General features: G+C 42.0%; 1 protein-coding gene across 4 annotated transcripts in view; it reads right to left on the reverse strand.

Moving 5' to 3' along the window:
- The window catches only part of NDC1 (NDC1 transmembrane nucleoporin), a 72,819-nt gene that overhangs the window by 19,217 nt on the left and 40,495 nt on the right, over positions 1-13,107 (reverse strand). For all 4 annotated transcript variants that reach the window (NR_033142.2, NM_001168551.2, NM_018087.5 and 1 more), the window contains 5 exons: positions 12,205-12,450; positions 11,995-12,110; positions 8,535-8,585; positions 4,439-4,502; positions 2,464-2,564 (listed from right to left, as the gene is read on the reverse strand). Coding sequence is in view for 3 of the 4 variants with exons in the window: in NM_001168551.2 (NP_001162023.1) it covers positions 2,464-2,564; positions 4,439-4,502; positions 8,535-8,585; positions 11,995-12,110; positions 12,205-12,450 (578 nt within the window). In the remaining variant the exon portion in view is untranslated. The remainder of the gene's footprint in view (positions 1-2,463; positions 2,565-4,438; positions 4,503-8,534; positions 8,586-11,994; positions 12,111-12,204; positions 12,451-13,107) is intronic.

Here is a 13,107-nt window from a genome sequence, read left to right on the forward strand (position 1 = left end):
GCAGGAGAATGGTGTGAACCCGGGAGGCACAGCTTGCAGTGAGCTGAGATCACACCACTGCACTCCAACCTGGGCGAAAGAGCGAGACTCTGTCTCAAAAAAAAAAAACATAAATCAGCTGGGCATAGTGGCATGTGCCTGTACTCCCAGCTACTCGGGAGGCTGAGGCAGGAGAATCACTTGACACCAGGATACGGAGCTTGCAGTGAGCTGAGATCACGCCACTGCACTCCAGCCTGGGCAACAGAGCAGAGACTCAATCTCAAAAAAAAAAAAAGCGGGGGAGGGATGTGGATCTGTAGCTTTTTCCAGGGTCTACTGCACTGCTAATGCCCTGCAATCAGACTGGGTTCTAGTTCCAGCTCTGCCACCTAGGAGATTGTGTGTGAGATCTGAGGTAAGTCACTGTACTACTAAGCCTCCCTCATCTATTAAAAAAGGGTGAAAACACTTCCACCTTGCTGACTTCACAAGATGGTTATAAAGATCAAATAATAATGATATCACATTACTCTAGACTATAAACACTGTACCATTATTGTTGTTTTAACTACACTGCCAGAGTGACAAAAAATAATGTTATGACCATCAAAGATATGCCCAAATCATGGTCATCCTATTGTGCAGTCAGATAAACCAAATATTCGAAGCTGCAGGGAATTGCTAGGAAACTATTTATTTACAGAATGGCACTTGGGAAAGAGTACAAATAATAAAACTATCCATGTAGACACACACATCTCAAGTAACATACATGAGAAGGTACTCACAAAAAGTGCTCAAAGCAAAAGAATCACTGGCTTTGATGGGTAAGATTTTCTAATAGGTAAAATGAATTGAGTGTTAAAGAAAGAAATGGAGAAGCATATTTCCTCTTCATTATCTTTTATTTTTTTGAGACAGGGTCTCACTCTGTCACCCAGGCTGGAGTGCAATGGCATAATCTTGGCTCACTGCAACCTCTACCTCCCGGGTTCAAGCGGTTCTCCCCCGTCAGCCTCATAAGTAGCTGGGACTATAGGTGCGCACCACCACACCTCGCTAATTTTTTAAAACTTTTTTGTAGAGACAGAGTTTCATCATGTTGCCCAGGCTTCTCTTCATATCTTAAATGGTTTCCCAAGACCAAAAGATGCACCAGTTATCATTTAAGCCTAGTTCAATTCCACTTCCTCCAGAAGGCCTACTATATACACCAGATGCTATTTTTATTCATTTATTTATTTATTTATTTATTTATTTACTTTTGAGACAAGGTCTCACTCTGTGGTCCAGGCTGGAGTGCAGTGGCACGATCTCCACTCACCATAACCTCTGCCTCCTGGGTTCAAGCGATTCTCCTGCCTCAGCGTCCCGAGTAGGTGGGACTACAGGCTCACACCACTGCACCCAGCTAATTTTTCTATTTTTTTGTAGAGATAGGGTTTTACCATGTTGCCCAGACTGGTCTTGAACTCCTGAGCTCAGGTGATCTGCTCACCTCAGCCTCCCAAAGTGTTGGGATTATAGGTACAAGCCACTGCACCCGGCCTCCAGATGCCATCTCTAAATGCCTCCAGCCCTTAGTGTTTATAGCTGTCATGTGACACGTAACTAATATTATAAGGTGACATAAAAAGTACCAAGTAACATGAAGTTAGAAAAAGAAGCCTACTGCAAAGCAGAAAGCATGTGTTTTATTTTTTGCTCCTCTTTAAGTCTAGGACCAAGAAAACCTATTAGCTAAAACTAGCCATCAAGCCTGGTGATAGGCATCTACTGGCCTCAGTTCTTGAGCCTCAACCCAATAGGGCATTTATCTGCATGGGTCATTTAATCACAGGTCACTTTTGGTAGCTACAAATTGTGTAAGGATTTACTTTTGTCAGTGAACAGAAGTCTAGTATTTTAAACAATGTGTTTAATACCAGGGGCATATCCTACAGGTTTAGTATACTTTCTTTTTCTGTTTCTGTAAAATTTTATAAGCAGATTAAAAGTTTTCTCTTCCAAACTATCTTTTAGTTTTGTTTTTTAAAATAGAGACAGGGTCTCGCTCTGTTACCCAGGCTGCAGTGCAGTGGTGAAATCGTAGCTCACTGCAGCCTCAAACTCCTGGCTCCAACGATCCTCCCACCTCGGGCTCCTGAGTAGCTGGGACTACAAGCATACACCACCATGGCCAGCTAATTTTTTATTTTTTGTAAAAACCGAGTCTTGCCATGTTGCTTAGGCTGATCTCAAACTCTCCACCTCAAGCGACCCTCCAGCCTCAGCCTCCCAAAGTGCTAGGATTATAGGCATGAGCCACACCAGCATCTTTTCTGTCTTTTAGATTGTAATTTCCTGAGGGTGAAAAAGTATCATTATTTTAACTTCCAACATGTTTTGTCACTCGATAAATGTGATATATAGGAAACAAACAAAGCACTGGGTGGGAGGGGAAGATGACCTCTACCCCCTCCCAACCCACAGATTTCTTACCTCTTGCAGTGTCAACAAAGTATTAAGGATAGCTGGTAGTGTCGTCTGGACAACTCCAAATCTATCCTCTGTAAATGATGCTGCTACTAAGTGCGACAGACCTCAAGGGAAAAAAAAAAAAGGTTAAAAGTCAATCAAAATTAGGCAAAACTATTTGAAATACATCTATTTTAGGAAGGATTAATATTCTGAATATAAAAAGAAATAAAGGCTGGGCACGGTGGCTCACACCTGTAATCCTAGCACTCTGGGAGGCTGAGGCAGGCAGATCGCTTGAGCCCAGGAGTTCAAGACGAGCCTGGGCAACATGGTGAAACCCCCTCTCTACAAAATTAGCCATGTGTGGTGCCACAAACCTATAGTCCCAGCTACTCGAGAGGCTGAGGTGGGAGGATTACTTGAGCCCAGGAGGCAGAGGTTGAAGTTAGCCAAGATCACACCACTGCACTCCAGCCTGGGCAACAGAGTGGGACTGTCTCGAAAATAAAAAGTAAAATAAATAAATAGATAAATAAATAAATAAATAAATAAATAAATAAAGGGAGGAGCAATTCAATAGAAAAACGGGCAAAAAAATTGGAATAGGCACTGAAAAAAGTACTCAATTGCATTAGTAATGAATAAAATAACAGTCTCTGGCTTTACATTCTATTAGGAAGAAAATTTTAAAAATAATATAGTGTTGCGTAATAATATGTGCCAGGAAATTAAAAAAAAAAAAAAAAACATGTGGTAAGGGCATACAGTATTCAGAGAATGGTCAGGAAAGGCCTCTGAGCAACATTTAAGCACTGAGACGGCTGTATCTATAAGATGAAAAGAAACAGCTCTTTAACAACTAAGTTTTCATATTTAACATAAGTTAACATAAGTTAAAAACAATCTATCTGTTGCACTTTTTTGAAGTAGAGAAAGATATAAAAGAATCCAGGCTCAACAGCCTGGGCATCTTAGCAAGACCCTGTCTCTATACAAAAAATATAAAACTTAGCTGGGCGTGGTGGCATGCACCTGTAGTCCAAACTACTCAGGAGGCTGAGGGAGGAGGATTGCATGAGCCCAGGAGTTTAAGGTTGCAGTGAGCTATGATCATGCCATTGAACTCCAGCTTGGGAGACACAGCAAGACTCCATCTCTTCAAACAAACAAACAAAAAGACTAAGTGTGGTGGCTCACACCTGTAATCTCATCACTTTGGGAGGTCAAGGCAGGAAGATCACTTGAGCCCAGGAGTTTGAGACCAGCCTAGATAACCTCGTCCCTACAAAAAAAAAATTTTTTTTTTTGAGATGGAGTTGCGCTATTTGTTACCCAGGCTGGAGTGCAGTGGTGTGATATCAACTCACTGCAACCTCTGCCTCCTGGGTTCAAACGATTCTCTGGTCTCAGCCTCCCGAGTAGCTGGGTTATAGGCACATGCCAGCATGCCCGGCTAATTTTTGTATTTTTAGTAGAGAAGGGATTTCACCATGCTGGCCAGGCTGGTCTCGAACTCCTGACCTCAGGTGATCCACCTGCCTCTGCCTCCCAAAGTGCTGGGATTACAGGCGTGAGCCACCGCAACTGGCCCACAAAAAAGTTTTTAAAACAAAAATTAACAGGGCGTGGTGGTATGCAACTGTGGCCCCAGCTACTCAGGAGGCTGAGGTGGATTGTTTGAGCCCAGAAGGTTGAGGATACAGTGAGCCATGTTCATAACACTGCACTACAGCCTGGACAACAGAGCAAAACTCTGTCTCCAAAAAAAAAAAGAACCCAGGCTCAGTTTCTCTGCTTACATACAAGAAAAAATTGTGCCCAAATCAAAATACGCCTAAATATATTTTTCAAAATGATCTATATAAAACAAAGATATAAAAACGAATCTGTACATTCAAAGACTGAAATCAAGGACCAGAACTGACCTTTCATGAATTATACTTCAATATTTAACTGACAATTAAAATCATAGTTACAGTTCACAGTCATTGCTTACCTTCTAATGCCCAAATATGCATTTGGGCATCTGAAAAAACAGCCTGAATGGAGGCCTCTGGGTGCTACAAATAAAAACAAAAACATTCAAGTGAATTCCCCTGAGCAAAAACTCCATTATTTCCTTTAATTAAATATGTAGACCACAAAACAAAAAATTCACAGCTGCCTCTCAAGAATTAAAATTTAAAATAAATTCTTTTATATTTAACTTGATAATTACTCATTTAACTATAATAAAGCACTCTACCATCAACTCATTGTGTGGCCCTTGCCAAGTCTCTAAATCTCTGTGTCTCAGTTTCCAATTTAAAGTTACATATACTCAACCCACCTCAGAGATCAGTTCTGAGATCACTTAAGAGAATGGTTACAGAAACTCTTTTTAAAAAACTTGGCTGGGGCTGGGTGCAGTGGCTCATGCCTGTAATTCCAGCACTTTGGGAGGCCAAGGTCAGGAGTTCGAGACCAGCCTGGCCAATATAGTGAAACCCTGTCTCTACTAAAAATACAAAAAATTAGCTGGGCGTGGTGGCAGGTGCCTGTAATCCCAGCTACTCAGGAAGCTGAGGCAGGATAATCACTTGAACCTGGGAGGCAGAGGTTGCAGTGAGCTGAGATCGCGCCATTGCACTCCAGCCTGGGCAACAAGAGTGAAACTCCATCTCAAAAAAAAAAAAAAAAAATTTTGGCTAGGCGTGGTGGCTCATGCCCGTAATCCTAGCACTTTGGGAGGCCGAGGTGGGTAGATCATTTGAGATGAGGAGTTTGAGACCAGCCTGGCCAACATGCTGAAACCCCATCTCTACTAAAATACAAAAATTAGCTAGGTGTGGTGGCATGCACCTAGAGTCCCAGCTATTTGGGTGGCTGAGGCAGGAGAATTGCTTGAATCCAGGAGGTCGAGATTGCAGCGAGCCAAGATCATACCAGTGCATTCCAGCCTGGGATAGCTGGAAGTGGTGGCTCACGCATGTAATCCCAGCACTTTGGGACGATGAGGTGGGTGGATCACCTGAGGTCAGGAGTTCGAGACCAGCCTGGCCAACATGGCGAAACCCTGTCTCCACTAAAAATAGAAAAATTAGCTGGGCATGGTGGCACGTGCCTGTAGTCCCAGCTACTTGGGAGGCTGAGGCAGGAGAATCACTTGAACCCGGGAGGCAGAGGTTGTAATGAGCTGAGATCACGCCACTGCACTCCAGCCTAGGCGACAAGAGCAAAACTCTGTCTCAAAAAAAAAAACCCCAAAAAACCAAAATAAATAAAATAAAAAATAAAAATAAAAAAATTGGCTGGGCGCGGTGGCTCACGCTGGTAATCCCAGCACTTTGGGAGGCTGAGGAGGGCCAATAACCTGAGGTCAGGAGTTTGAGACCAGCCTGGTCAACGTGGTAAAACTCCGTCTCTACTAAAAATACAAAAAATTAGCCTATGTGGTGGCGCACGCCTGTAGTCCCAGCTACTTGGGAGGCTGCAGTGGGAGAATCGCTTGAACCCGGGAGGCAGAGGTTGCAGTGAGTCGAGATCATGCCACTGCACTCCAGCCTGGGCGACAGAGCAAGACTTCGTCTCAAATAAATAAATAAACAACAACAACAACAACAACAAAACTGCCTACTTGTTATCTCTTTTAAATTGTCTACCCTCAACCCCACTCAAAGAAAAACCGCCTAACCTTCACGTAAAAAATGTTTTTATTTGCACAAATTTATGGAGTACATGTGAAATTTTGTTACACGTATATAATGCATGATGATCAAGTCACGGCATTTTGGGTATCCTATCACCTGAGTATAATATGTTTTTGTTAACTGTAATCATCCTACTCTGGTATCAAACATTGGATTTATTCCTTCTAACTGTATATTTGTACCCTTTAACCTACTTCTCTCCATCCTCCTCCTACCCTCTACCCATCCTTCCCAGTCTCTGTTATCTTTCCACTCTACTCCCATGTGATCAAATGTTTTAGCTTCTATACGTAAGTAAGAACGTGCAATATTTATTTTTTTGTGCCTGACTTATTTCACTTAAGATTGTGATGTCCGGCCAGGCGAGGTGGCTCACGCGGTCAGGAGATCGAGACCATCCTGGCTAACACGCTAAAACTCCGTCTCTACTAAAAATACAAAAAATTAGCCAGGCGTGGTGGCAGGTGCCTGTAGTCCCAACTACTCAGGAGGCTGAGGCAGGAGAATGGCGTGAACTTGGGAGGCGGAGCTTGCAGTGAGCCCGAGCTTGCAGTGAGCCCAGATCGCGCCACCGCACTCCAGCCTGGGCGACAGAGCGAGACTCCGTCTGAAAAAAAAAAAAAAAAAGATTATGATGTCCAATTCTATCCATGTTGCTGTAAATGACACAATTTCATGCTGCCTACCCTTCTTTAACGTACCACCATGGAATAGTGTGGAACAACTGGTCCATTTGAACAAATGCTGTCTTTGGTTATGTACCCAATGAAGCCTACTAAGTACCATACAACAAGTCTATTAAGTTACATTTTTTAACATCAAATAGCAGCAGTGTCTATAATTTATCATATAATAGACCCACTTGCAAAACTGGGATGAAAATTAGCCTTTCACTTTCAAGAAAACAGGAGATCTTGGTCACCATGTGGTCTGCCACTTACTGTCTCTGTGCCCTTAGGCTAACTATATGACTCCTCTGAGCCTCAGGTTTCCTTATCTGTAAAATGAGGATAAAAAGACATATCTCACAGGAATGCTGTTAGAATTAAATGAGGGAACTGAAGCGAAAACAGAGTATGGCACACATAAGACACTCATAGTGAGTTATTTTCCCCTTCTTCTTTTTTTTTTTTTTGAGACGGCGTCTCGCTCTTTCACCCAGGCCGGACTCCAGTGGCTCTATCTCGGCTCACTGCAAGCTCCGCCTCCCGGGTTCATGCCATTCTCCTGCCTCAGCCTCCCGAGTAGCTGGGACCACAGGCGCCCACCACTGCGCCTGGCTAATTTTTTGTATTTTTAGTAGAGACAGGGTTTCACCGTGTTAGCCAGGATGGTCTTGATCTCCTGACCTCGTGATCCGCCCGCCTTGGCCTCCAAAAGTGCTGGGATTACAGGTGTGAGCCACCATGCCCGGCCTTTCCCCTTCTTTTGAAACCAAGCACTGAAGTAAAACTTCAGACAACCCCTCTTCCTTTTGGTGGAAGACAAGACACCTTCCTCTAATGGGCAGACCAGGGTGGATTATTTTTTGGTAAAGGTAATGGCTAGTTGGGTGGATCGTCCCTTCCACCATAGTGGAAAAGCAGTTTCAAGCCCCTGAAATGACTGTTATGCGTTATCTATATTCTATCAGGGTTGCTCAGACCTCTTTTCCACCAGAGTATGACTCCGAAATAATAAATATAACAGATGCCAATATAAACTTTCACTTGAAGGTATTAATGGAGTGAGCGTGATATTAGATAATACTGCAATATCTGCAGAAAGAGAGGCTAGATTTTAAAAGCTAAAAACAAAAATTCTTTCCCCTACATAGGGGCAAAGGTTTTGCACATCAAAGGATTAAATAGAGACACAACAGTCGTAGCCAGCAAAAACAGGAATCAATCTTTAGCTTCTACAACTGAGATTTACTCTCCTGTGGCAGCTGGAACAGCTGATACACAAGTTGGGAAGTCATTTCATGTGTGGTCTGAATTATAATTTTTTATTCATCATAAATTTAACATCTGTGATATCATCATCTCTCTTTTGAACACCAAAATGGTCACAAAGACGCTAGCAGGACGTGAGCCAAGAAGCACCAGATAGCCACACAAATGTGTTCACTTTGTGAAGATCCAGACAGCAGGAAGGGGTCTGTGTTGCCTATCAGCACAAAGCTGCCAGCAGCCAAGAGATACGAGAGGCAACTAGAGAGTCAAGCTTCAGAAGCCACTGAAGTGAGATGTGTGTCTAGGGCAACTATTGTTAAAACGGAGGTTCAGTGAAGCACTATGCAAAGCTGCCTAGCTTGCTAGGATTAAGCTATAAAATATTTACAAGTCAGATCCTATCTGCTACTTTATTTCATATTTCATTTCCTCCCTCCCCATTCCCAACGCTATAACCACATATTCTTACCTTACTGAAAAAATACATTATCAGCACCCGTTTTGACAAGAAATTCTTAATCTGAGTTGGAAAAAAGGAAGAATTAACACATTTACCTTTTAAATTCTATTCAAATATAACACATTTCCTAGTTCTTCCAGACAGTAACTTAAATGAAAAAATGAAACACTTCACATCTTGTGGGCAAAGAATAATAATACTTAAACAATACGCCATGTAACTAAATACCTTTGTGCTACAAATTGGACAACCAAGATGAGCCAACTAAACTGTATTCCCATGTATACACGTTTAACCCCCAAATTAGAGCCCTGACATAAAAAAAAATTAATTAATTCTAAGTGGTTTTGGTGAAATTTTTTTCTTTTTTCTTTTTTCTTTTTTATTTCAGAAACAGGGTCTCGCTTTGTCACCTAGGCTGGAGTGCAGTTTTATGATCACAGCTTACTGCCACCTCAAATTTCTGGGCTCAACAGATCCTCCCACCTCAGCCTCCTGGGTAGCTGGGAATACAGGCACACCACCATGTCCGGTTAATTTTTAAATGTTTTTGTACAGACAGGGTCTCACCATCTTGCCCAGGCTGGTCTCAAACTCCTGGACTCAAGCAATCCTCTCACCTCAGCCTCCCAAAGTGCTAGGATTACAGACTGGAGATATTTTTCAAGGCCACATTATTTCTCGATTCTCTATAACTGTCCTGCCCTTTAACCTTTTAATACCCAAAAAAAGAGTATGTTTCTCTCACAGGGAAAAAAAAATCTTTTTTTTTTTGAGACAGGGTCTCACTCTATCACCCATGCTGGAGTGCAGTGGCACATTCATAGCTCACTGCAACCTCTGCTTTCTGGGCTCAGGTGATTCTCCTACCTCAGCCTCCCAAGTAGCTAGGACTACAGGAATGCACCACCACACCCAGCTAATTTTTGTATTTTTAGTAGAGATGGGGTTTTGCCATGTTGCCCATGCTGGTCTCGAATTCCCGGGCTCAAGCAATGTTCCCACTGTGGCATCCCAAAGTGCTGAGATTACAGGAAAAAAAATATCTTAAGACACAAAGTAGTTTTCTACTAGTTGACAATTCCGGGGGAAAAAGTGTTCTTAGTATCAGCTAAAAGCTAACCCAACTAACTTAAAAGTGAATCTGCTCCTACCATACTCTCACCCAAAGCTGCATGACTAGTCAGAAGGCTGCAGCAAGCAGCACGTGTCTGGTTGGGTAGAAAGTGACACGGCAGTACTAATGGCATATAGAGCCGTATGGGATCCCGAAGTTTATGAAATGCCTTTAACCATTCATTCCCTATTAATCAGTCATTCCATCAGCAAACATGTTATAATTTCTCCCATCTTAAAAAATAAAAACATGACTGGGCGTGGTGGCTCGCGCCTGTAATTCCAACACTTTATGAGGCTCAGGCAGGATGACTGCTTGAGGCCAAGAGTTTGAGATCAGCCTGGGCAACATAGAGACTGTGTCTCTACAAAAAATAAAAATTAAAAAAATTAGGCAGGCATGGTGGCAGGCACCTGTAGTCCCAGCTACTCAGGAGGCTGAGGTGGGAGGATCACTTGAGCCCGGGAGTTCAAGGCTGCAGTGTAGCCATGATCATACCACTGCACTCCAGCCTGAGCAACAGACAGACCAAGAACCCATCTCAAAATTTTTAAAAAAGTTCCTTGACCCCTCAATTCCTCCCAGCTATTGCCCCATTTTTCTGTTCCACTTACAACAAATTCCTTGAAAAATGTGGTTTTTCTTGTGGTCTCCAATTCGTCTACCAATCTCTCCTGAACTCATGCATTTTTTTGTCCCCACTACTCCAGCCAACAGCTCTTGTCAAGGACTCAGTGACCTCCGCATTTCTAGCTCAACAGTTAATTCTTAGTTCCCGCCCCATGCTACCCATCAGCAGCATCTGACACTCCCACCTTCTCCTCCTTGAAACTCTTTCTTTTCTTGGATTTCTACCCACCTCAGTCTCTGTTGCTATTCTTTATCTCCCAAACTTTTAGCCATTGGAGGGCCCCTTTCTTGGATATCTCTTTTCTTCTGTATTTACATTCAAGAGTTTGCATCGAGTCTCATGCTTTGAATACTATCTATACTCTGAAAACTTCCAAAGTTACATTTCTAGCCCAGAACTTTCCCCTACACTACCGCTATATGCCTAATTTCTTACTAAGTATTTTCACCTGGTTGTCTCATAGGTATCTCAAAATTGGCTTGTCCAAAATCAAACTCCTGATTTCCCTCCCCTCACCTCTATCAAATCTCCTTCTCCAGAATCATCAGTAAATTCCAACTCAATAAATTGCAACTATATTATTCCAGATCTTCAGGCCAAAAACCTTACCAGTGAACACTGACTCTTTCTAGTATACACCACAACCAAACCATAAGCTAATCCTATTCCATCTAACTTAAAATACATACCTAGACCTTGACCACATCTTACAGCCCCCACCACTACCACTCTGGTCCCAGATACCACCATCTCCCACTAGATTACTTAACACCTTAACACCGTCTCTGGGCTTACATGCCTACCTTGCAAGAGTTTAGTCCCAACACAGCCCCTAGAGCAGCACTTTCAAAATATAAGTTACATCATATCATTCTTGTGGGCAAGACCATACGGTGACTTTCCATCCCACTCAGAGATGAAGCCAGTCTTTACTACAGCCAATGAGCCCTGGGTGCCTGCTACCTTTCTGATCTTATCACCCACTTACCACTCTCCCCTCACTCACTCTGCTCCAGCCACACTGGTATCCACATTGTTCTTCACACAAGCCAAGGCCATTCCCATCTCAGATGCACTGGGCTGCTCCCAGCTCTCCCTTCAGGTCTCTGATCAATCATTGCCTTATCAATGAGACTTCCCCTTATCACTCCACATAAAATGATACCCTCTCCCTTAGGAACTCTCTGTCTTCCTTGCTCTGTTTTTCTAGTTAAGACTTATATCAAATTTCTTCCTTCTTATGCATGTTTTCCATATCTTGAATATGACCTGTTGAGATGCATCTTACAGTCAATAGCACGTCATGGGTTAAGGCATCTTTTTTCTTAATAGCACATAAGTCTTATAATTAATGATATTTTATATTTCAGAGAAACAGAATATAATACATTTGCTTACTCACTGATTTCCCCTCACTCGAATGTAAATATTACATGGGCAAGGACTCTGTTTTGTTTGCTTTTTTCCCAGTGCCTAAAAGCACACCTTGGATATATAAAGAACTCAAATATTTCTTACATGAAGTTATCAGGTCAAGTCATATGAAATTACAATGTGTATAGCTCAAACCAGTCAAATATTGGCTGTTTCATTTGAGTCAATACACGAAGCATAAAAAAAAAAAAAAAAAAGCTTCTTATTCCTGATGACTTACTCATGTGAGATCCTTAATGTTCTCAATTTTACATGCAAATATAAATCCTATAACCATATCATCCTACCTGTTCACGTTTATTCTGAATCCATGAATAAATCACACTGGGTTGTCTCATTGTCTTACCCTCAGCACTAATAGAGGTAGATGGAGAAGGATTAGAAAATTCAGTCATTTGCTGATCTATTTTTAAAAAAGAAAAGGCAAGATAAGAACTTAGGCTGTCTGATCCTCTGCAACATGACATTTAAAATCTTAAAAAATATATAATTCTCACCAGAAGCTGATGTCCACAATCTTGGCCCCCTTCTTATTAGCTGAGGACTTTGCGGTGACCCATAGCAGGTGTTTACATCAAAAATTCCAGCCATCCGATTCATTACACTAGAGCCAAATGGGGTCCCAAATGGGCTCACAACATCAGGTGTAGATAATTTTGAAGAAAACAGTGATGTTTTAACTAATGGTGGCACTGAAGGCCGAGGCATCTGGCTAGATTTTGGTGTCTGAAAAGCAGTTTCTTCTGTAAAACAACAGATCCAGTGCTGAAGAGGCAACCTGATCCAAGCAGGCTAGCAGCAACGCTTTCAAATTCTACACATACCAAATTTTTGTTTAACGCATTTACCCAAAGCTCAGTAGATTGTTTCCATTTATGATTATAGTCTCAAGATTCGATTTTACTACTGCATTCAAGCTCCACTCAAAGAGCTTTATACATCTTCTTCTGTCAGATCGATATAGTCTCTCTTTTTCCCCCCCCATGAATATCTTCATCTTCAACGTCAATTTATCTAACTCTAAGCAATTTTGAATGAACTCATCAATTCACATTTTATTTCTAATTGGCAATTTTAATTACTGCATTAGAATCTATCCAGTTTTACTGCATTACTATTTTAAGTATTACTTGACTGAACATACCAAATCTATATTGTGAACATATACAGGAAAAAAATATTAACCTTACCCCATTTTCCCCAGTTTTTTCCTTTCCTTTTCTTTTTCTTTCCTTTTCTTTTCTTTGAGTCAGGATCTTGCTCTGTAGCCCAGATTGGAGTGCAGTGGTGTAATCTCGGCTCACTGCAGCCTCAACTTCTGGGGCTCCAGCGATCCTCCCACCTCAGCTTCCTGAGTAGCTAGGACACAGGCACATACTACCATGCCTGGCTAATTTTTT

This window comes from Homo sapiens, chromosome 1, assembly GCF_000001405.40.
Source record: "Homo sapiens chromosome 1, GRCh38.p14 Primary Assembly".
Classification (NCBI taxonomy): Eukaryota; Metazoa; Chordata; class Mammalia; order Primates; family Hominidae; genus Homo; species Homo sapiens.